At 42.5% G+C, this 23,309-nt stretch overlaps 1 protein-coding gene across 3 annotated transcripts in view, besides 1 other annotated feature; it reads right to left on the reverse strand.

Annotated features, from left to right (window-relative positions):
- ANAPC5 (anaphase promoting complex subunit 5) overlaps positions 1-23,309 on the reverse strand; it is a 45,965-nt gene that overhangs the window by 17,502 nt on the left and 5,154 nt on the right. For 2 of the 3 annotated variants that reach the window (NM_001137559.1, NM_001330489.2), the window contains exons 2-11: positions 22,056-22,135; positions 21,150-21,259; positions 20,093-20,285; positions 16,257-16,323; positions 11,545-11,646; positions 9,787-9,977; positions 5,601-5,682; positions 4,837-4,926; positions 2,570-2,712; positions 1,350-1,485 (exon numbers count right to left, since the gene is read on the reverse strand). In NM_001137559.1, coding sequence (NP_001131031.1) covers positions 1,350-1,485; positions 2,570-2,712; positions 4,837-4,926; positions 5,601-5,682; positions 9,787-9,977; positions 11,545-11,646; positions 16,257-16,323; positions 20,093-20,285; positions 21,150-21,249 — 1,104 coding nt within the window. In that variant the 5' untranslated portion in view covers positions 21,250-21,259; positions 22,056-22,135. Of the gene's footprint in view, positions 1-1,349; positions 1,486-2,569; positions 2,752-4,836; positions 4,927-5,600; positions 5,683-9,786; positions 9,978-11,544; positions 11,647-16,256; positions 16,324-20,092; positions 20,286-21,149; positions 21,260-22,055; positions 22,136-23,309 lie in introns of all 3 variants that reach the window. The other variant, NM_016237.5, reaches the window with a different exon arrangement.
- Positions 9,659-9,850: a silencer, noted in NCBI's record as "fragment chr12:121773208-121773399 (GRCh37/hg19 assembly coordinates)". NCBI's record gives its function as "represses an EF-1alpha promoter that drives an FKBP-Casp9 reporter gene in an ReSE screen in K562 erythroleukemia cells {active_cell/tissue: K562}" and the evidence as "EXISTENCE:reporter gene assay evidence [ECO:0000049][PMID:32094911]".

Here is a 23,309-nt window from a genome sequence, read left to right on the forward strand (position 1 = left end):
GTCCCAGCTATTCGGGAGGCTGAGAAACAAGAATTGCTTGAACCCCAGAGGCAGAGGTTGCAGTGAGCTGAGATCGTGCCACTGCACTCCAGACTGGGCGACAGAGCGACACTCCGTTTCAAAAAAACTAAATACTTCAATATGTTCACCGACTCATTCATTACCAGATGCTTCTCTTATCCAAGGCACCAGGAAAGGAAGAGAAGTGATGTTAAGGAGGTGCCAGTGCCACGAAGAGGGAAGAAACAAGCGAGAGACAGACTTGCAACATTCCCAGGGGAAGCAACCAGCTAGCCCTTTCGACCTCAGAAAACATGGGCAGTGCTTCCCAGACATGGGAAGAAACCAGCTGGCAAAGGCGCCGTGGAACCCATCAGTCAGGGCCCATCCACCCCTCAGTTTACACAGCCATGTAAGAGACTGTAAAATGCTAACATGTTTGCTATAGGGAAGTATGTCTAGACTTCTGAAAGGAGTGGAAACCACCCAAAAATCTTTAGGCTGCAATTAGGGAATGTTGAGTGTTATGATGCAATCTAACAGTAACAGGTATCACAAAGAGGAAGAGAAAAATATGATCAAGGAAACATCTGGATTGCCACAGCAGTGTTTACTGAGATGGAGGGCTTTAGATAAAATAGTTTTCCCTGACTCTTTCCCATGAAAGAAGATATTTTGAATAAAGGGAAGATAAAGCCTACAGTAGCAGAAGAGATACTTTAATTGATCCCTTATAAAGAGAATCTCGTCAAATTACTTGAGCTGTAAGTCATCAAGATTATGTCCCATTCCCACTGCTCTTCTTTGGAGTCAACCAGGTTTCGGTTGGAGACCTGCCTCTGACATTTACAGGTGTTGGATACAGGATTTAGCTCCCAGGACCTCAGTCTTTAGTTCTGTGAAATAGGGATAACAACAAACCTGAGCCCATGAAGTGGATTCTATGAGACAGTACCCATAAAATAGGCACAGGGACTGGCACAGAACAAATTTACAACCAACATTAGTTATTATGATTTCAGATATACTTCTATTATACTCTCCTCTCTCCTAAAACACACAAACCTCTGCTACCTTAAATGTCAAAGAATCCTATTTATTTCCTTAGTTACATGAAACTGGCTGACCTCTTAGAATTCCCTTCATTGATGCCAAAAAAAGACCTCAAATTCAACCAACTTTGCAGACTCCACCCTTGGTCCCCTTCCACTGGTGGGATTTCACTCTTTCAGCCACAGTGTCGAGCAGAACTGTCCAACACGTGTCCAGTGCTTTCCTCAAGCATTAGAGGAAAGAAATGGTAGAGCCTCCATTGCTCCAGAAGCACGTGGGCCCGGCCACCTGCCTACCTGCTCCGCGTGTAGCTCTGCGAGGTGGCAGAGTGCGACAGCAAAGGACTCTGTGTTGTTCTGCTGCACGCCCGCATTCACCGCCTCCAGGCTGTTCATGCTCAGCAACATCTGGGCCTGTTGCAGTGCCATGGTGCTGGGTGGGGAGAGGGAACAGGATTTCCTTTCAGCAGCAGACCTGGCTGCGCTTTGGCCATGCCCGTCAGCTATCTTGAGTGGAGGCGTAAAGTCATACACCTCACAGGCTCTGGCTTTCTTGGGAGCAGATGCCTCCCAGTGCCAGCAACCTTGCCCTCAGGATAAGAAAGGCAGAAAAGCATCCTGGATGTGCAGCGCGAGGAGACACGTAGTGGTTAGGGCACAGCTGGGAGTACACGCTCCCAGATCCCCCCGCCCCCACCCCATGTTCCCTGCAGTCATAGTATGTTAATTAGTTTTCACGGGTGAATTCAGACCCGATGCCATCCTGGCACAGACTGCTCTGGCAATGTAAGCAGTGGCCAGTGTCTGCAGCTGTTTCAGAGCACACCGTGCCAAAAAATTATCTGAAATACAAAAACAAGACTGGTAAAAAAGGCACTTCCTTTCATTACTGAATTCCTAGAAACAGACTGTCTAAGTGAGGGGTGAGGTAGCGACAGAACTCCAGGATTAAAATGCGGCAACAAAGTTTACTTCCAGGCTAAAAGTGGCTAAATGTGAAAGTACACAATAAGATGAAAATATTCCACAGAAAACACCTCAGTTAACAGAAAAGCAACTTTCTTTTACACAATAGTTTTGGGGTTCAGGTGACACTCAACTAGAGCAACCATGGATCATGCCTCCTATAAACAGGAAGGTTCCTGTCACAGAGCAGAGGAGCCCGGTGCTTGGAGTCAGATGACGTGGGTTTGAGTCCTTTCTCTGTCACTTGTTAACTGCGTTTGCGATCGCGGGTAGATCAGATGTGTGAACCCTGGTTTACTCTCCCAGCATGGAGATCACCCACCCATTACCTCACAAAGTGGTTGGGAGGAGTAAGAAGGAACATGCATGGGAAAAAAGTTTTCAGTCTGTGCAAAATACAAAATGTTTTATAGTCTAAAACATAGTCCCCTGCAGGAACAACATCTATCCAAGGCAGGTAAATCTTGTATGTATGGCCTTTCACAGAACCAGCTTGCTAGCTCCTGCTTCTCTCTAAAGAATTCACACCCCCAGGGCCTTGGGAGACCTACCTGCGGCCATACAGCCTCCAGATGGCCGTTTTCTGTGCGATGCTGATATCGATGAGCTCTGACAGGCTGTGTTTCCAGTGCAGGAGGTCGGAGTCCTTTAGGGCATCCATCAGCTTGTTTGCCGTCTTCCCAGCAAAAGCTCTCTGTTGAACAAGGGACTGTATTCCCAGGGAGGCGAGGTACTAAGGGGACAGATATACCCACGACCCAAGATAGAGATTACATGACAGAATTTGTTTTGCTCTTCAGAAATGTGGTGGATTTCACATTTCAGCACATGCACAGTGACAGCACTATTTAAAAGGAAAGTACCTATAACCTGGCCTTAACCCTGAGCCATACGAGATGTGTTCCTGAAAAACTGGGTCTGGGAGAGAGGCAGAGGGTACACGGGAAAGAGCCAGCAGGGCTTTAGCATTAGATGGACCTGGACTTAAACACTGCCTCTGCTACTTACTGTGTGACTTAGGGCCAGTCACTTAGCTTCTTAGCTAAGCCTCAGCTTCCTCATCTGTAAAATGGGCATCAAACCTATCATAAAGAATTATCGTAAGGATTACAATGAAATAATAGATGTCAAACAGTGCTGCGCACATATGTAATAGGAGATCAAAAAAGGATGCCTATCATGAGCAACAAAATTATCTTGTCATTAGCTTTTGGTGTCATCTTCAAGGATGAAAGCTCAACTAAAAAATGCCAGCTTAAATTCATGGCAAAAATTGTAGTTAAGCCTGCGCTTACTTCAAGGAGCCACTTTTGTCATTATAATCAATTCTGTACGTATGAGTTTCTTTCCCAGGTGTGAATCAATGGACAAGCTACAGATTTGTTTTTTGGTTTTAGGGTTGTTTTTGAGACGGAGTCTTGCTCTGTCGCCCAGGCTGGAGTGCAGTGCAGCAATCTCGGCTCACTGCAAACTCCGCCTCCCAGGTTCAAGCAATTCTTCTGCCTCAGCCTCCAGAGTAGCTGGGACTACAGGCGCCCACCACCACGCCCGGCTAATGTTTGTATTTTTAGTAGAGACGAGCTTTTACCATAACGGTCAGGCTGGTCTCAAACTCCTGACCTCACGATCCACCCGCCTTGGCCTCCCAAAGTGCTGGGATTATAGGTGTGAGCCACCACGCCAGGCCGATTTTAAAGTGTATACATTAAATTACTACCTGTAATTACTTTCCATTTTACTGAAGTCTGTCACAAACTTCATAAGACAGAATGCTTAAGCAATCCCACTGCCTATGGTCTAGTTTTCAATGGGTGTTTCTGAGAGAGAATAAGGTTCTCCAAGCTTGTGCTTCCTTTTTTTTTTTTTTTGAGATGGAATTTCATTCTTGTTGCCCAGGCTGGAGTGCAATGGCACAATCTCGGCTCACTGCAATCTCCACCTCCCAGGTTCAAGCGACTCTCCTGCCTCAGCCTCCTAAGTAGCTGGGATCACAGGCATGTCCCACCACACCCAGCTAATTTTGTATTTTTAGTAGAGAGAGGGTTTCACCATGTTGGCCAGGCTAGTCACGAACTCCTGACCTCAGGTGATCCACCCACCCCGGCCTCCCAAAGTGCTGGGATTACAGGTGTGAGCCACCACGCCCAGCCAGATAAGCCTTTTCAATGCCCCTCTGTGTATGTCATTGAGGACTATAATTCACGGCCTTCCCTATCACTCAAAACGAGAAAGGACAAATCTGCCTGTCAGGTTTACTGGTTCCTGGCTTTGTTTATTGTTTAAAACAAGGATCAGCAAACTTGTTGTGTAAAGGGCCAGAGAGTAAATAATTTCGATTTTTCAGGCCACACTTGGTTTCTGTCACGTATTTCTTCTCTGTTGTTGATTTTTTTTTTCTGCAATCACTTAAAAATGTAAAATCCACTCAGCCTGAAGCCCCTAAGTAGGCAGAAAGCCAGATTTGGCCCAAGGGCGGGAAAGTTCACCAATCCCTGGTTTAAAAATAAGCCTTTGCTAAAATTTTTCTAAGTGACTATGTGCTAAATTAATGTTGCTCAATAAACTAAACAATGATCTCTTATCAAATTGGTAAAGGGAATTTCCACAGATGTTATTAGGATACAGGGAACAGAGAGAAACCTACCACACAGAATTTAGTGGTCTGATTAATAATTAAAGTCATATGAAACTGCCAAGAATAAAACCACACTTTGAAACCCATTCTAAATCTATCGCTGGTTAATGACAGAGGTGGGCAGAAAAAGAGACAAAGGCTCGACCATTTATGGAAACAATCTCACAGAAAGATGAGCCTTACCGGTAACCCAAAATGTACTGCCTTCTTCACAGAATGCTCCAGCAGAACATAGCTATCGGATCTCTTCTGCCCCAGCACATAAAGCCAGCTCTGGCAAGAGAAATCATCAAAATATATCATAACAGTGGCAATGGCTGATGTTCTAGTGAAATATCAATGTGGTCATAAGAAAGAATTTAAAAGGGACAAAATGAATCCTCTCAAATACTCTTTCAAGAAATATCAAGAATCTCAATGAGACCTGTCAAACATATCAACATCATTAAAACCAGGCTGAAATAAATGAGTCATTGTTCTGCTTCACCTGACAGCCACTGAGTGGCAGGTGTTTCAGAAAAAAAGCATGAAGCTCCCATATGGCCTTCAATTGAGAAATAAGATTCTCAGGTGCTTGTCAAGTAGCTTCTGTGTTCCACTGCCCTGGTGATTTTGCTATTACAGGACAACATCTCACCCAGTTACTAAGTGTAGTATACATCTTTTGTTAATGCCAGTGCTAAATGTGATAAAGGTTTCTCTTCTTTCATGGCAAGTTGCATTAAACTTTGTAGAGCAGATATATGCCAAAAGCAAAACAGATGTCATGAATTAAGAAAGGTAAGTAAAGATAAGTTGCCCTTTCTGAATTCCCATGACCACCTAACTTGTTTCCTTTTGCTGCTGAAGATCTCTGCTCCAACTGCAAAACAACCCAATTCAACGGGGCCTTGTGAAGGCCAATTCAACCCGTGAACAAAACTCCCAAGACCAGAGGATGGCCTCACCAAACAGTGCTGGAGACACACGTGATCGTTGGACTCCTGGGCAATCCTAATTGCCTCCTGCAGGGCGAGCTCTGCCTGTTGACTAATGACAGACTAAACATTAATATCCCATTAATAATCACAAACATGCATAAGCAACCATAGCAGGAAGTCATCTGTACACAGTCATCCAAATGCAGGTCTCTGGGTTGGAAGCTGTAACTATTTCTGGGCTTATTCTCTCAGAGGCGTGCCCCAACCCTAGCAGCAGAAAACACTGACAGTGGAAATATAGGACATGTCTCTTCTAAGGGGAATTGCTACGAAAAGGGCATAAAGCAAAGGCTTTTATCTCCGCTTCTAAGATGTTTATTTTAAAGGTCCACTGCTGAGGGGAAGGGCAAGGAGAGGATATAATATTTTACTTTTCATGGCATTCTCTCCTACATTATTTGACCTTTTTTCTTACTATGTGCATTTGTTACTTTTATCATTTTTTCAAAATCACTTTTATGTTTGTTTGTTTGTTTTTTAGAGACAGGGTCTCCCTCTGTCACCCAGGTTGGAGTACAGTGGCACAATCCTAGCTCACTGCAGCCTTGAATTCCTGGACTCAGGCGATGGACCTCAGCCTCCTGAGTAGCTGGGACTAAGGCACTCACCACCATGCTTGGTCGGCTAATTTTTTTAAAAATAGATATAGAGTCTCACTATGTTCCCCAGGCTGGTAAACTTCTGGCCTCAGGCGATCCTCCTGCCTCAGCCTCCCAAGTAACTGGGACTACAGGCTCATACCACCATGCCCAGCTAATTTTTTTAAGGAGATAAAGTCTCACTGTGTTCCCCAGGCTGGTCTCCAACTCCTGGCCTCAAGCGATCCTCCTTCTTTGGCCTCCCAAAGTGCTGGGATTATAGGCATGAGCTATGGTGCCCAGCCCAAAGCTAGTTTTAGAAAGTATTTTGAGGATTCCCACTTCTGTAATATTTTTTCCTTTAAATCTCTGTTCAAATATTAAGTTGGCAGAGATCAAGGAGGGCTGATCTGCTACCTTTCTATTTAACCAGAGATTTACAAATTGAAGGAGTTGAGTGACCTGTATATGTATCTGGAGTAAGAGTGTTACTCAGGAAAACAAGAGCACTTCACCTTCACTTTCTAACCTCTTATCCTGGTCTATCACTATCTGAGATATTACAACTATGCTTAGCGTTGTTTATTCCCTATTTCCCCTGATATAAGCTCTATAACAAGTTTTTTTTTTTCTTTTTCACTGCTGTATCCCTAGTACCTACAATAGTGCCTAGTACACAGTAAATGCTCAATAAACAACTACAAGGATTTTCAAGAAATCCTTTTAGCTAAGTGACAAAGATTTACACAGGCCCATAGATCCAAGACCAGAAACAAAGAAGCCTGGGCCTGAGTAAATCAGGAATTAAGGAAAATGTACACATTAATAAAAATCTACCTCTCCTCATTTATATTCTGTGCAATTAGCTGTCTACCCATTGATAATATTGTAAACATAGACAAATTCTGAGATGGGTGCAGTAGCTTATGCCTATAATCCCAGCACTTTGGGAGGCCAAGGTGGGAGGATCACTTGAGACCAGGCGTTCAAGAACAACCTGGGCAACATAGCAAAACCTTGTCTCTATATTTTTAAAAATAAAAAGAAGAAATTCTGTTCATCAAAATATTATTTGTGGCCGGGCGCAGTGGCTCACGCCTGTAATCCCAGCACTTTGGGAGGCCGAGGCAGGTGGATCACCTGAGGTCAGGAGTTCGAGACCATCCTGACCGATATGGTGAAATCCCATCTCTACTAAAAATACAAAAATTAGTTGGGCATGGTGGCATGCACCTGTAGTCCCAGCTACTCGGGAAGCTGAGACAGGAGAATTTTTTACCTGAACCCAGGTGGCGAGATGGCAGTGAGTCGAGATCGAGCCACTGCACTCCAGCCTGGGCAACAGAGCAAGACTCCATCTCAAAAAACAAATAAATTAATTAATTAAATAAAGATTATTTGTATCCAGAAGGCTGTGTACAAATTTCTAACCCCCAGGGGAAGCAGTTCCTTACTAAGTTAAATAGGTTATTGGTAAATATTAAAAATGGCATTTCTATTATTTTTGAGTACATAAAAAAAGAAAGGCTCTGATCGAGAGGTTATTAAATGTGGGAAGACCAAAAGAAGTTAGTTATTACAAGATATCATGGAATGTTGCAAAAATCATGGAGTTTTGAGGAGCCTTAAATATTTTTGGGTACAACTATCAATCTGATGTTTGAATACCCTTAATAACATCTTTGGTCTAGGCCTCAGCACCTCACTGACACCTTCCTCAGAGGGTTCAATAAGGGGAAACTGTTTCCTTATAATGAGCAGAAATATTTTGTCCTTTAACCTACACTTACTTACCAGCTCTCAATCTTCTCCCGTAGCCATACCCTCAATCAATCTAAGCTCTTTTCACATGACTTTTCACTACATGAAGATGTCAAACACATGCTTGGATAAGTCATTTTTTTCCAGGCTAAACATGTCTCACATCCCTCCCACATTACTTATATGATATGGCTTTGAATGTCTCAACACCCTGAGACTGTTCCCTCCCCACACAAGCTTCAGCTTGTCTACATCCCTTTTAAAGCCTCACAACTGGGTTGGCCCAGTGGCTCATGCTTGTAATCCCAGCACTTTGGAAGGCCAAGGTGGGAGGATTGCTGGAAGCCAGGAGTTTGAAACCAGCCTGGGTAACAAAGCAAGATCCTACCTCTACAAAAAATAATTTTTAAAAAAATTAGCTGGGCATTGTGGTGCATGCCTGTAGTCACAGCTAGGAGGCTGAGATGGACTGCTTGCTTGAGCCCATGAGTTTGAGGTTACAGTTAGCTATGATCATACTACTGCACTCCAGCCTGGGTGACTGAGTGAGACCTTGTCTCTTAAAAACAAAAACAAAAACCTGACAACCAGAGATAAAAAGAATTCCCTAGGTGCTGCCTGACACAGAGAAAGGGATAGATGTCTCCATTATTGAACTGTGAACACTATGCTCCCATTAATACACGCTATAGTCTGTATAGAAGGATGCCTGTAGCAAAGACCACACTTCTCTCAACTGGTAAAAAGCCACAGGGCAGGTGGGGGGGTGAAGGGATCTTTGAATTAGTAATTTCCCACCTTTCACCATTATTTACATTATTTCATTATTTCCAAGATAGCCTCCATGTTTTGAAAGTTGTTTTATCTACTTAATTCTATTTACTAAAACATAATTGATCGATTTTCCTATTTCTATTCATTAAAAACAGAGGCACACTGAGGCAACAGTATAAACCAGTGTCACCTGACTGAGCAGCCTGAATTCTACCTGAAAGCAAACCTGACTTTCAGTAAGCCTATGTAGTCTTTCATCCAGTAAAGGTACAACTGCCTTCTGGCTTTTTGAAATACTAAAAATAGCTTCTGCATCCCCATTTTTACCTCCAAAAAATCCTTTAGGGACTCTCTGGCCTAATGACCTAATTTCTTTTTCACTGAACGGCCTGTTGTTCTTAGAAGTAATGAAAGAGGCTAGGCACTAAGACGGCAATGTTACATAGTGACACTAGGGGGCAGACTATTTAGGCAGAAGGTTTTCATAAACTGTTCCAGTGCCAATAAGGTTCCCTCTATGGAAGTTACTGACTAGTCCAGGTTGATGAGCTGCTTTCCTATCTTCTTTTTAAAAAATACATTTTTTAAAAATGCATCACAATTAACATTTGAGAATTCATTTCTTCCATTTCTTTTCCCTTTTCTTTTCTCCCAAAATAGCAAATCTTTATTTATTTTTTCTTTTTTTTTGAGACGGAGTTTCACTCTTGTTGCCCAGGCTGGAGTGCAATGGCGTGCTCTCGGCTCACTGCAACCTCCACCTCCCGGGTTCAAGCGATTCTCCTGCCTCAGTCTCCTGAGTAGCTGGGACTACAGGTGCCTGCCACCACACCTGGCTAATTTTTGTATTTTTAGTAGAGATGGGGTTTCACCATTTTGGCCAGGCTGGTCTTGAACTCCTGACCTCACGTGATCCACCCGCCTTGGCCTCCCAAAGTGCTGGGACTATAGGCGTGAGCCACCGCACCAGGCCAAACAGCAGACTTTTTATTGTCATCGGTTCCTTCAATTTGCGCAAGGACAAAGGTCTATAAACTTACTAGTGACCGAAGCGGCAGTGCAGGGCGGCAAGATTCAGAGCGGCGTATCTCAAGCTCCGGCCATAGCCCTCTTCCCCATTACTTTTGCTTTCGGCTCCGGTAAGAATCAGACGATCAAAATAATGGAGGAGACTGTGTGTTGAACTGAAAACATCTTGGACACGGAGGTTGTTTAAGTAGCTGAGATAATGCTAAAACAAGAAATAATCAATGTATTTTAAACGCTGTAAATATCTCTGGTGTAAGACAACTGCAGAGAGTTCCACTGTCTACAAACACTAGTGTATCCCATACCCTTCTAATAAGATGGTCATAGTTTAGCTTAATCTTCTCCCTAGAGGCAGAATAAAACAGCTTCAAGACACATTCCCCCTAGAGGGAGTCCACAAATTAAAAATGGGAGTTCCATTAGTATTTGTGTCAGTTTTATCTCAAATATACTCCACTATGCCACTGGTTACATGAGTGATAGATGAGAATACTGGGCCTTACCTAGTTCAAATATTGAGGAAAACTGAGTGTTCAGAATTAAAGATCCTAAAACCTGAATTCATATACAAATTATAAAATTAAGTTTTATTAATGTACAAGTTAAAACACACTGAGACTTACTAGTTTACTAAGTTAATTATTTTCATTTTTTTTTTAATCACTGAAACTTCCCTAACAGGCAGATCTCAGTTACTAGGAAGCAAAATAGATATATTTCTGCACCCAAAGTCAGATGGAAAATCCAAATACTATTTAAGAAAATTTTCCGAGTAAAAAATCCATTAAGGAATGGAATTATTAGAACTTTAAAAATAAACACTGACAAAAGAAGAGAAAGGAAAAGAGTTTTTCAGCCTCAAAACTGTCATTTAGGCTGGGCGTGATGGCTCATGCCTGTAATCCCAGCACTTTGGGAGGCCGAGGAGGGTGGATCACCTGAGGTCAGGAGTTCGAGACCAGCCTGGCCAACATGGTGAAACCCCGTCTCTACTAAAAATACAAAAAATTAGCTGAGCATTGTGGCGTGTGCCTGTACTCCCAGCTACTCGAGAGGCTGAGGCAGGAGAATCACTGAGAACCCGGGAGGCAGAGGTTGCAGTGAGCCAAGATCGCACCACTGCACGCCAGCCTGGGCAACAAGAGCGAAACTCAGTCTCCAAAACAAACAAACAAACACTGTTTTTTGCATCAGTCTAGTATATTATCTCCAGTCCAAACTTTACAACATCAGGAGGATGATGACTGAAAGAGAACATCAAGAGTAAGAAGAAATCGCCTATGGCCCGAGGAGGGAGGGAGGAGCTTTGCAACCTATACCGAGTTGTTTGCCTACCAAGAACACGATTTCCTTCAAGAACCTGGGCCAATGGGCTGATTCTCATTTGCACAGCTACTCAATATAAAAAGTAGCCTTGGCCAGGCGCAGTGGCTCACGCCTGTAATCCCAACACTTTGGGAGGCCGACGCGGGCAGATCATGAGGTCAGGAGATCAAGACCATCCTGGCCAACATGGTGAAACCCCATCTCTACTAAAAATACAAAAATTAGCTGGGCGTGGTGGCACGTGCCTGTAATCCCAGCTACCTGGGAGGCTGAGGCAGGAGAATCACTTGAACCAGGGAGTCGGAGGTTGCAGTGAGCCAAGGTCGTGCCACTGCACTCCAGCCTGGCAACAGAGTAAGACTCTGTTTCCAAAAACAAACAAACAAAAAAAGTTGCCTTGTCATTCCTTTCCAACACAGCAACAAATTCTGGGAAAGACTTACCGCTTCAGCAAAATCAGGATTAAATTTCAACAAATTGTTTAATTCCTTCTGCAAGGAAGCTGGAGTGAGGGCCTTAGTCTCATCATTCTTTAGCAAAGAAGCCTGAAATTTAAAAATGGTAACTCAGTAGAAAGAAAGGGTCAATAAACATATGAAAAGATATACTAACTAGCATCACCTGATTATTTTCTTTTCTACAGGGGTCCCTTCAGGCTCTGGCCCCTCATCTCGCCAGCCTTGGCTGGCCTTCCCTCACTCTAGGTAACACTGAAGGTGGACCCTGCCACATGCTCTCCTCTTGACCATCTACAACACTGTTTCCTCTTCCAGAAACACCAAGCCTCCCACCCATCGCTCCCCAGCCATATACTACCCAAAGCTGAGCAAACCGACGCCCATGCCTAGCTCATCCTCTGGGCCACCTGCTTCTGTCACCTTCTAGATGAAGGTGAGATCCTATAAGCCCCTCCATGCTCCCATAAGCCCTCTGCACTTACCCCCCCTGTGGCACTATCAAACTATAGTAAAATTGCCAATCTGACCCCACCCCAGACTGTAAGCTCCTTCCAGGCAGGTAATGTGTTTGCTTCTTGTATTTCCAGTGCCTGTATGGGGCCTTATGGGAGCCAGGTGGCTTGCCCCAGCTCTACTTATTTGTTTCATATGGACGATATCAGCAACAATTATATAAAATATGTAGAAAGTTAGCTACAAATTAAATGTTTACATTTAACTGGGTTATAGACACTTAACTCCAATTTTACCTAGATGAGTTTTTCTATAAGTAAAATAATTTCTAAGGGCAGGGTGTGGTGGTTGATGCCTGTAATCCCAGCACTTTGGGAGGCAGAGGCTGAGGCATGAGTATCGCTTGAGCCCAGGAGTTCAAGAACAACCTGGGCAATATACTGAGACCTCATCTCTATTTAAAAATAATAATTTCTTTAAAAAAAATTTTTTTAAAGTAAAAATAATTTCTAATTCCATTGTTAATTTATGTCATTATAGAAAATTATTGGCCAGGCGTGGTGGCTCACACCTGTAATCCCAGCACTTTGGGAGGCCGAGGAGGGCAGATCATGAGGTCAGGAGTTGGAGACCAGCCTGGCCAACATAGTGAAACCCTGTCTCTACTAAAGATACAAAACATTAGCCGGGTGTGGTGGCGCACACCTGTAATCCTAGCTACTCGGGAGGCTGAGGCAGGAGAATCACTTGAACTCGGGAGGCAGAGATTACAGTGAGCCGAAATCACGCCACTGCACTCCAGCCTGGGTGACAGGGCAAGACTCAGTCTCAAAAAAACAAAACAAAACAAAACAAAAAACAAATTATTATGTAGGTGTAGTATGGGGAAAAATTATTCCAAAAATATAGAAAACCTACAGAAGAAAACAAAAATCTTCTGCAATCTCACTACCCAGAAATAACGCTATTAATACTTTAGTGTATATTATCCTAGTCTTTGTTCTGTATGTGTGTATATATGTTACATATCATATTCTGATTTTGTTAAAAATATGTGTATACATATTATATAAATTTACAATATACCCTGTATTGTAAACATATATTGTGTATACATTACATTTTTAACAAAATCACAATATATGTTTATAATACAGGGTGTATTCCAAATTTATATAATGTGTATATACACATTATATTTTTAACAAAATCAGAATATGATATGTAACTTTATTTCCTGTTCTTTTCATTTTATATTGTAAACTTTGTCTCATCATCAAATATGACTTTTTTTTCTTTTTTTTTTTTTTTTTTGAGACAGAGTCTTGCTCTGTCGCCAAGGCTGGAGTGCAGTGGCACAATCTTGGCTCACTGCAACCTCCACCTCTCAGGTTCAAGTGATTCTTCTTGAATCCCAAGTAGCTGGGATTACAAGCATCCACCATCACATCTGGCTAATTTTTTGTATTTTCAGTAGAGACAGTGCTTCTCCATGTTGGCCAGGGTGGTCTCAAACTCCTGACCTCAGGTGATCCACCTGCCTCTGCCTCCCAAAGTGCTGGGATTATAGGCATGAGCCACTGTGCCCGGCCTGAAAATGTGATTTCTAAACCAAAACCAAAATCTAAACTTTCACTGTCATATTTATTGTAAATACTTTTTCCCAAAGTATTGGAGCCCAAGAACACCTTTGTTATTTGCCTTTTAATTTTTTAATTTTATTTCTTTTTGAGAAGGAGTCTCGCTCTGTCGCACAAGCTGAAGTACAGTGGCGAAATCTTGGCTCACTGCAAACTCCGCCTCATGGGTTCAAGCGATTCTTCTGCTTCAGCCTCCCAAGTAGCTGGGACGACAGGCACATGCCACCACATCAGCTAGTTTTTGTGTTTTAATAGAGACGGGGTTTCACCATGTTGGTCAGGCTGGTCTCGAACTCCTGACCTCAAATGATCCACCCGCCTTGGCCTTCCAGATTGCTGGGATTACAGGCATGAGCTGCCACGCCCATCCTGTTTGCCTGTTAATTATGTTAAAACAAGTCCTGACATGGAGATGCTTTCAATTTTTATTCTGAAAATCAAATTATCTTCTCCTACATGTTTTCTTCCAGTTTTTTTTTTTTTTTTTTTTTTTCCCAGATGGAGTGTCGTTCTTGTGGCCCAGGCTGGAGTGCAGTGGTGTGATCTCGGCTCACTGTAACCTCCACTCCCCAGGTTCAAGCGATTCTCCTGCCTCAGCCTCTGAAGTATTCCATAGCTTTTATGTTAGAAAGCTCTGGCCAGGCGCAGTGGCTCACGCCTGTAATCCCAGCACTTTGGGACGCCGAGGTGGGCAGATCACCTGAGGTCAGGTGTTTGAGACCAGCCTGCCCAACATGGCAAAATCCCGTCTCTACTAAAAACACAAAAAATTAGGCAGCTGTGGTGGCAGGCACCTCTAATCCCAGCTACTTAGGAGGCTGAGGCAGGAGAATCGCTTGAACCCGGGAGGCAGAGGTTGCAGTGAGCTGAGATCACCACCGCACTCCAGCCTGGGCAACAAAAGCAAAACTCCATCTCAAAAAAAAAAAAAAAACCAACAATGTGTAGCTCATTCTAGCCTAATTATCTAACTAAAGCTGTAAATATTTACATTTAACCCTGTAATCCATCTGTAATATACTGAGGTACAAGGTAAGGTAAGGAAGGATCCAGCTGTACTTTTTCCTTACAGTTAACCAATCACATAGACAGGTTTTTCTAATCTGTTTGAAATTCATCTGCAGAGGTAATTCCGTAAATTTTTTTTTTTTTTTTTGAGACGGAGTCTCACTTTGTCACCCAGGCCAGAGTGCAGTAGCGCAATCTTGGCTCACTGCAACCTCCGCTCACCGCAACCTCCACCTCCCGGGTTCAAGCGATTCTCCTGCCTCAGCCTCCCGAGTAGCTGGGATTACAGACGGGCATCACCACACCCGGCTAATTTTTGTGTGTGTGTTTTTTTTAGCAGAAACAGGGTTTCACCATGTTGGTCAGGCTGCTCTCAAACACCTGACCTTGTGATCCGCCTGCCTCAGCCTCCCAAAGTGCTGGGATTACAGGCGTGAGCCACCATGCCCAGCCTCCATCACTTTTGTCTAGATATAAACATTACATCTTTCTGCAGAAAGCTCATAACAAAATTAGGGAAAAGTAGAAAAATAGAGCAAAAACTAAAAATTCTATGCTGAAAATAACACAGAAAAATGTTCAGATTATGTTTCCAAGAAAATGAAAAAATATGGCTGAAAAGCATCCATAAGAAATGTTTGGGCTGGGCGTGGTGGCTCACACCTGTAATCCCAGCACTTCGGGAGGCAGAGGTGTCGGTGAGCTGAGATTATGCCACTGCACTCCAGCCTCAGTGACAGAGTGAGACTCCGTCTCAAAAAAAAGAAACAAAAAAGAAATGTTTGGGGCACGCTGGTTCATGTCTGTAATCCCAGCACTTTGGGAAGCCAAGGCAGGTGGATCACCTTAGATCGAGAGTTCAAGACCAGCCTGGCCAATGTGGTGAAACCCCATCTCTACTAAAGATACAAAAATTAGCCAAGTGTGGTGGTGCACGCCTGTAATCCCAGCTATTTGGGAGTCTGATGCATAAGAATAGCTTTAACCCAGGAGGCAGAGGTAGCAGGGACCCGAGATCATGCCACTGCACTCCAGCCTGGGCAATGCTCTAGCCTGGGCAACAGAGTAAGACTCTGTCTCAAAAACAACAAAAAAAGAGAGAAGTGTTTGGAGCAAAGTGTATTAATATCTGCAACTGGAAATATATATCAAAAAATAAGATGAAATGGTGGCTGAATAGAGAGTGGTTAGATAAGTAATAAATAGAACAAAAATATTAATTGTAGAATCGAGGTAATAGGTATGGGTAATTACCATACACTGCTTTTCAGGCTCTCTTTATGTTTGCAAATGTCTATAATAAAATGTTGAGAGAAGGGTTAAATCACAGGGTTTTAGGCTGTTAGTCACATACCATTACTAAATGAAACCTGGATTATAACTTTAATAGAAAAATAAAATCACACACAAAATAGGAAGGGGCACAGAGCTACAAGTGCTTCGTTAGTGAGGCAGAGGGGACCAAGAGTAAAGGCTGACACAGACTGACCAACAAACCTATGCACATAACGGGCCTATGCCACAACACACATCACAGGACTAGACACATCACAGGACTAGAACAGAAGTTCATGATAAATTACAGAATTCACATACCTGTTGAGAAAGAAAAAATTCTGCTTGTTTTTGGGACAGAGGCCCACTGCAAGATACCTCCTCTTCTCTGGAAAAAATAAAAAAACAAAAATAGTAAAGAATTACACAAAAGTAAAAATGATAACATTTATAAAATCAGATGGATTCTTGTATCGAAAGAGTTCAAAAAATTTAACTCTCTCCTCAGAACTAGGAAAGAAAAACATAAAAAGTGATGTTGAGATCAATGCACAGAGCCCATAAAGAAGCCCTGGCATGCATGGTCAAATGGTTTTTGGCAACAGTGCCAAGACCATTTGATAGGGAAAGGACAGCCTTTCCAACCAATGATGCTGGGAAAACTGCACATCCACATGCAAAAGCATGAAGGTGGATCCTTATCTAACACCATATTCAAAAATTAACTCACAAGGACTCAAAGACCTCAATGTGAGGCCAAGGACTCAAAGACCTCAATGTGAGGCCAAAAACCGTAAAACTCTTAGAAGATCTTCCTTCCACCTGCTAGTAATAAAAAATAAATAATACATTTTTAAATAAAAAAAATTAAAAACTCTTAGAAGAAAACATCGAGGAGGCCAAGCGCGGTGGCTCACACCTGTAATCCCAGCACTTTGGGAGGCCAAGGCAGGTGGATCACAAGGTCAAGAGATCAAGACCATCCTGACCAACATGGTGAAAACCTGTCTCTACTAAAATACAAAAAATTAGCCAAGTGTGGTAGTGCGTGCCTGTAGTCCCAGCTACTCAGGAGGCTGAGGCAGAAAAATTGTTTGATCCCGGGAGGTGGAGGTTGCAGCGAGCCAAGATCACGCCACTGCACTCCAGCCTGGCGGCAGAGCGAGACTTCATCTCAAAAAGAAAAGATCACAAAAAGAAAACAATTGAAATTTTCCTTTAAAAAAGAACTAAGAAATACATGTAAGTACATCCTATAAAATAAAAAGGTTCTCTAACAAAGTAATTTCTTTTAGACAAAGAATTATAATCATTAGTTAGATTTAAATATAAAGAATACATTTCTTCAATTTTCACGATGAAATTCAGTTTACTAAATATGCATGATTTTCTGAAACCATATACCTTTATAGAAAATATATTGGATTATACATAAATGACTTCTTAGAATAAGATAAAAACAAAAAGATGGAGTTAGACCTAAATAAATCAAGTTAAGAGAAAACCAACCCAAATAAGAAAAGTCTGAATTTTAACATTTCTGCAGAAGTGACACTTTGCTACTTTAAGCATATAAAGTAGCTAGAAAAAGGATTACACTGTAGCCTAGAAGCATTTCTGAGGGCAACTAACTAAAAGAGAAAGTAGAGAATAATAATAGTTAACATTTCTAGGCACAGTTCTGAATACTTTATATGAATTTATCATTTAATTCTGACAACCCTCTGGGGAAGGGGTATGAGCCCCATTTTGCAGATAAAGAGCTCAAAGCACAGAAAGGGTGAATAACTTGCCCAAGGTCTCAGAGACCAAAGGCAGAGGAGCAGCAGGCCAACCTGGGGATCTGACTGCAGAGCCAGACTCTTAACTCCACACTATGTTGTCTTTCCACCAGACAAGAAGCATTTGTAAGGAAATGAGTTTTGGGGAGCAGTTAATGGTACTATTATCCTCTTGCTCTCAATATGTGCTGAACAAATCATTTAACAGTACAAAAACTACTCATAGAAAGTGCGATAAGCATTCCCCATTTATAAACAATGTCACCCCCTGCCACCCTGGGGATTACAGTAGCCTAACAGCCTGCAATGCAGTAAATAATAAGCTCCCAGGAAATGATAAGGTCCCTTGACCACCTCCTTAGGGCAGGTGGGGCTTAATTCTCTCAGAGCTCTGGACAGTGTATCTGTTTACTTGTCAGCCTTCCTCACCAGATCACAGGCTCTTTGACATCAGGGAATATGAAATACATACATATCTTTTTGCCTGCAAGTACAAGTAGTTTATTTGGAAGCAATCTCAGATAACAGTAGTTAGGGAAGGAGAAGTAAAACAGCAAAAGGAAGGACAGTTAATACAAAGTGTGTTACTGGGCCAGTTACCAGTATGGGTGATGGACTATATATTGATTCATCCAACATTCAGGTACAGAACACATTCTATGAGTCAGGCACTCTACTAAACACTGGGGAAATGTGATCAAACAAGACAGAGAAGGGTCTCAGTTCTCAAGGGGTGAAGAGGCAGGGGAAACAGATAAGCAAGCAAGCAAGTAAATTAAGAAGGTTACTTAGTAATGAGAGGTATGGAGGAATAAAGAAATAGAAAGTATTTGGGGCCGAGTGCGGTGGCTCACGCCTGTAATCCCAGCACTTTGGGAGGCCAAGGCGGGTGGATCACCTGAGGTCAGGAATTTGAGACCAGCCTGGCCAACACAGTGAAACCCCATCTCTACTAAAAATACAAAAATATTAGCGGGTGTGCTGGTGGGCACCTGTAATCCCAGCTACTTGGTTGGGAGGTGGAGGCAGGAGAATCACTTGAACCCAGGAGGTGGAGGTTGCAGTGAGTCAAGATTGTGCCATTGCACTCCAGGCTGGGTGACAGTGAGACTTGATCTCAAAAAAAAAAAAAAAAGAAAGAAAAAGAAAGTATTTGGGATAGGCGCTACCTCGTGGTCAGGGAGGCCCGTCTGAGGAAAGTTGAGCTGTGATCTGAAAGGTGAAAGGGAGCACATGAGGTGAAAAGCCAGGGAAGAGCATTCTAGGCAACCTGAGGTAGAAACTGATTGGAGTAGTCAAGAAACTGAAGGATAAAGTCAGAGCAGTCACTATGCTGAGAGTGAAGGAGAAAATAAAGAGAAAGAGGTCAGGGAAGTTCATTGGGCCAGGTTATACAGGCACTGAGGCCATGGTAAGCTCAAACTCCTCTCTAAGTTCCAAAGGGTTTAGGCAGAAAAGTGCTGGGATCTGATTAATATTCTTAGGGGCTTCCCCAGATGCTGCCTGAAGAACAGATGTAGGGAGACAGGAGTTAAGTCAAGGAGAAAAGTGATGCTAGTGCAGATTTGGTGAGTAGATTTGGTAGAGATTGGGTGCTTAGACTCCAGGGGTAGCAGTGGCTATGAGATAAGTGAACAAGTTCCAAACATAGCAGGGAGGAAGGACTGACTGGATCTGCTGAGGGACTGGGGTGAAGGACAGGGAGGAATCAAGGATACTACTGCATTTTGGGCTTGACCAACTAAGTGAGTAACTTCCTTACAACAGCTTCCTTAGAGGCTAGACCTTAGAAGGCATTCAATAAATTTTCACTGAATTAATCAAGTGTTACTTCACTCTGATGTGATGAACAATACCAGTCAGGGACCCAGCAGAAAACAAAGAACACATTCAAATTGAGTAGTCTGAGAAGAGTTTAACAAAGGATCAATTGACAAAAGTAGGGGAAAGGACAGAGAAGTCATAAGACACAATACAGTCCCCAGGACTGATAACAGTGGGGTACCTTTCACCTGGGGCCTGCAAACACTTGCTCCTAGTCACCGAACCCCCTGAAGGAGTGCAGAAAGAGCGACCTGACAGAAGCTGTGACCCTACAGCCAGCCCCCCAGGACCCCCAAGAAAGGGAGCCAATGAATCCACACTCCACGTCATTCTCCCTGGCCCTTGGGATTTCCTGCCAGTGCCTCCCATTGGCCAATCACAAGTCAGAGGGCAAGGGACCCACTGGTGCAGCCCTTATCAGTTAACTTCCCAGATCTGGAAGGGTAAAAAGGGCATAAGCCAGCACGTGAATTCTAAATGAACAAGGACTTATTGCACTTGAAATTATACTATTTCACAGGAAAAGGATCCCTGTCAGAAAAGCCAAATTACCTTACAGATACATCAAGTTCTTCTTTTTCCATTTTTCTTTCACCCTCATCTCTACTGGTCAGTTCCATATCAGCATCCTCCACTGTCTTTTTCTCACCATTCTGGAAGTACTGCTGAAGGGCAGTGTACAGTTTAAACACTTGGCTGAAAGAAAGCTTACTGTAGGCCAAGATCATGTGACGCAGAAACAAACCTACAAAATAAGACGAGAGACAAGGGGAAAGCATTAACTGACATCCAGGCTACGCAATGGCAACTCCACAATGGCAATGACTGTCTGCTGGAATTCTTCCTTCAGAAGAGTAAGAAAGAGACACTTGCAGTTGCCATTCCCTCCTCCTGGAATGTTCTTCCCCAGTCCTTTACAAAGCTGGTTTCTTCTTATACAGGGCACAATCTACCCACCCCACCTCCACCTGAAGGCTTCCATTTTACTTTCTTCATGGCTGTTACACTATCTGAAATGATATTTATGTGTTTACTTTTACCAACTGGCTCCCCCAACCAGAGGTAATCTCCATAAGAGGAAATTCCATGTCTATCTTACACGTCCAGAGCCTGGCACATAGGAAGAGAGAGAGAAATAGCTCACGCTGAATAACATAAAAATTACCATGCAAAAAAGCCAGAGGGATAGAGCATGGGATAAAGCTAATAGAAAAGCATCAAAGAAACACCACGTATGCCCTCACTTTGCATACTATATCAATAATGTATTTTTACTTACCTCTCTTCATAAGTCTGGGCTGGTGACCCTCACTTACAGATGGACCATGCAGGCAAGTGATCCAGAGGACTGTGAGAAAGAGCTGGGAACCCCTAAAAACCCCAGGACCAGGCTCTGACTCTTACTATTGTAGACAAAACAGAAGGTGCTTTTCCACAGTTAATGATTTAAATATAGATCAAAACAGTAAGGCAATAAATACAAACTGCAACACCTCCAACATCCCCACTGTGTCTGTTCACAGATATAGCAGAACAATGATAGACATGACTTAGAAAGCTGCTCACTTCAATGAAAATACTCTCTGCTCTTCTTAGAAGAGTTTCATACCTACTACACTTGTTTTGTGAACCTCTGGTTCAGTTCCAGAGAAAGAATCTGAAAGGTCATCAAAAAACTGTTCCATATCCTTCAACTCGCCTTCAGCCATCAGTTTGATTCTGAATGAGAAAATCGAGGTGCATATTTTAGAAAGGCCCTTTGAATAATTTCTCATGTTTCATATTCCTCAATTACCTCAAATAATGTATTTTACAGGCAATTCAGAGATTTGTATAAAATGGTGGCTCATAAAACAAACTTCATAATTCAAAATGTTACTCCCGTATTTCTGAAAAGTATCATTGTTGTTTTCTTGATCATAAAATTTGTCAAACTATCACATCAACCAATAAACATTCAATTATCTGCAATGACTAAAAAGAGTAAGATGGATCCATAAGGAATAATAAAATTTGGGGAAAAAAGCTATAAAACAGTATGCTTAATGTTACCCATTTTTCAGCCAGGTGCGGTTGCTCACACTTGTAATCCCAGCACTTTGCGAGGTGGAAGCGGAGGGATTGCTTGAGCCCAGGAGTTCAAGACCAGCCTAGGCAACAAAGCAAAATCCCATCTCTACTAAAAATACAAAAAATTAGCCAGGTTTGGTGGTGTATGCTTGTAGTCCCAGCTACTTGGGAGTCTGAGGTGGGAAGATCACCTGAGCTCAGGAAGTCCAGGCTGCGTTGAGCCCTGATTGCACCATTGTACTCCAGCCTGGGCAACAGAATGAGACCCTGTCTCCAAAGAAAAAGCTATCCATTTTTCAACAAAACAGAATTAAGTAAAGGCTCTTGGGAAAACAACCTAGGGTAATAAAGGTATCTTTTTAAAAGAATTAACTACCACATACCCTTTTGTGATTTTCATCTACCTTCACACCTTTTCATATATAAAGAAGAAAATGAAGTTTACCTGATCTGCACTGAATTTGCCAGCTGTGGACAAGACTCTTCAATTAACTTGTAAAGTTTTGACAGTGTAATATCTGGGCCCTGTGTAAAGGAGAGATAGGGAGGTATGGATTTTAAAGAGCTGGAGACTGATAAAGAATTGCAAACATAAATTCATTTATCAACCCCTCTGCTTTAATAATCACTCCAAACATGCAAATAAGGATTTTTCTATCTACCTAAAACACTAAAGTAATACTTCACATTTGCATACCATTTTTGTCTAGTCAGTGGAATGGTCTAAAATAGAAAAAAAGCATAGGATTTATAGTCTGAGGATCCACTGTTCCTTCCTTCTTAGCTTTGTAATCATTGCAAAATTGTGACCTCTGAGTTCTAGTTTCCTTCATCAGTAAAATGGAGATAATAATATCTCCCTTGTTTTTGGCAAAGATTAAATAAGATAATACAAAGTGCTTTGTAAACTGGAAAACACTATACAAATACTATTTTTCACAAACACAATCTCATTTGATCTTCTCCCAAACCTTGTAAGGTAGGCAGACATACTATGTGCTGAAGTCTATAAAGAGTATGACGAGAGGCCGGGCACAGTGGCTCATGCCTATAATCCCAACATTTTGGGAGGCCAAGGTGGGCAGATCACCTGAAGCCAGGAGTTCAAGACCAGCCTGGCCAACATGGCAAAACCCCGTCTCTACTAAAAACACAAAAATTAGCCAGGCATGGTGGCACACACCTGTAGTCCCAGCTACTTGGGAGGCTGAGGCGGGAGAATGGCTTGAACCTGGCAGGTGGAGGTTGCAGTGAGCCAAGATCACGCCATTGCACTCCAGCCTGGGCGACAGAGCAAGACTCCGTCTCCAATAAAAAAAAAAGAGTACCACAAGGAATAAAGAGTATGCAACCTCAGCTACCAAGAAGATTACAGTCTAGTTGAGATTTAAAACTAAATTTAGACTCTTTTTCAGAGAATAAGATGACTGCATATATGCCAACTTTAGATGTGGATAACCCAGCAATTGCACTTCTAGGGAAGTTATTTTGGCATACATTGTTTGAAATGAAGAAAAACTGAAAGGAGCCTGTAAGTCCAATAAAGACTTAATTTATAATACAGAGTTGAATTATGTTGCTTTTCTTACTGTGAAATATAATGCAGCCATTAAAAAGACCATTTGGGGCCTGGCGCAGTGGCTCACGCCTGTAATACCAGCGCCTTGGGAGGCTGAAGCAGGCAGATTACTTGAGGTCA

This window comes from Homo sapiens, chromosome 12 (assembly GCF_000001405.40).
Source record: "Homo sapiens chromosome 12, GRCh38.p14 Primary Assembly".
Taxonomy (NCBI): Eukaryota; Metazoa; Chordata; class Mammalia; order Primates; family Hominidae; genus Homo; species Homo sapiens.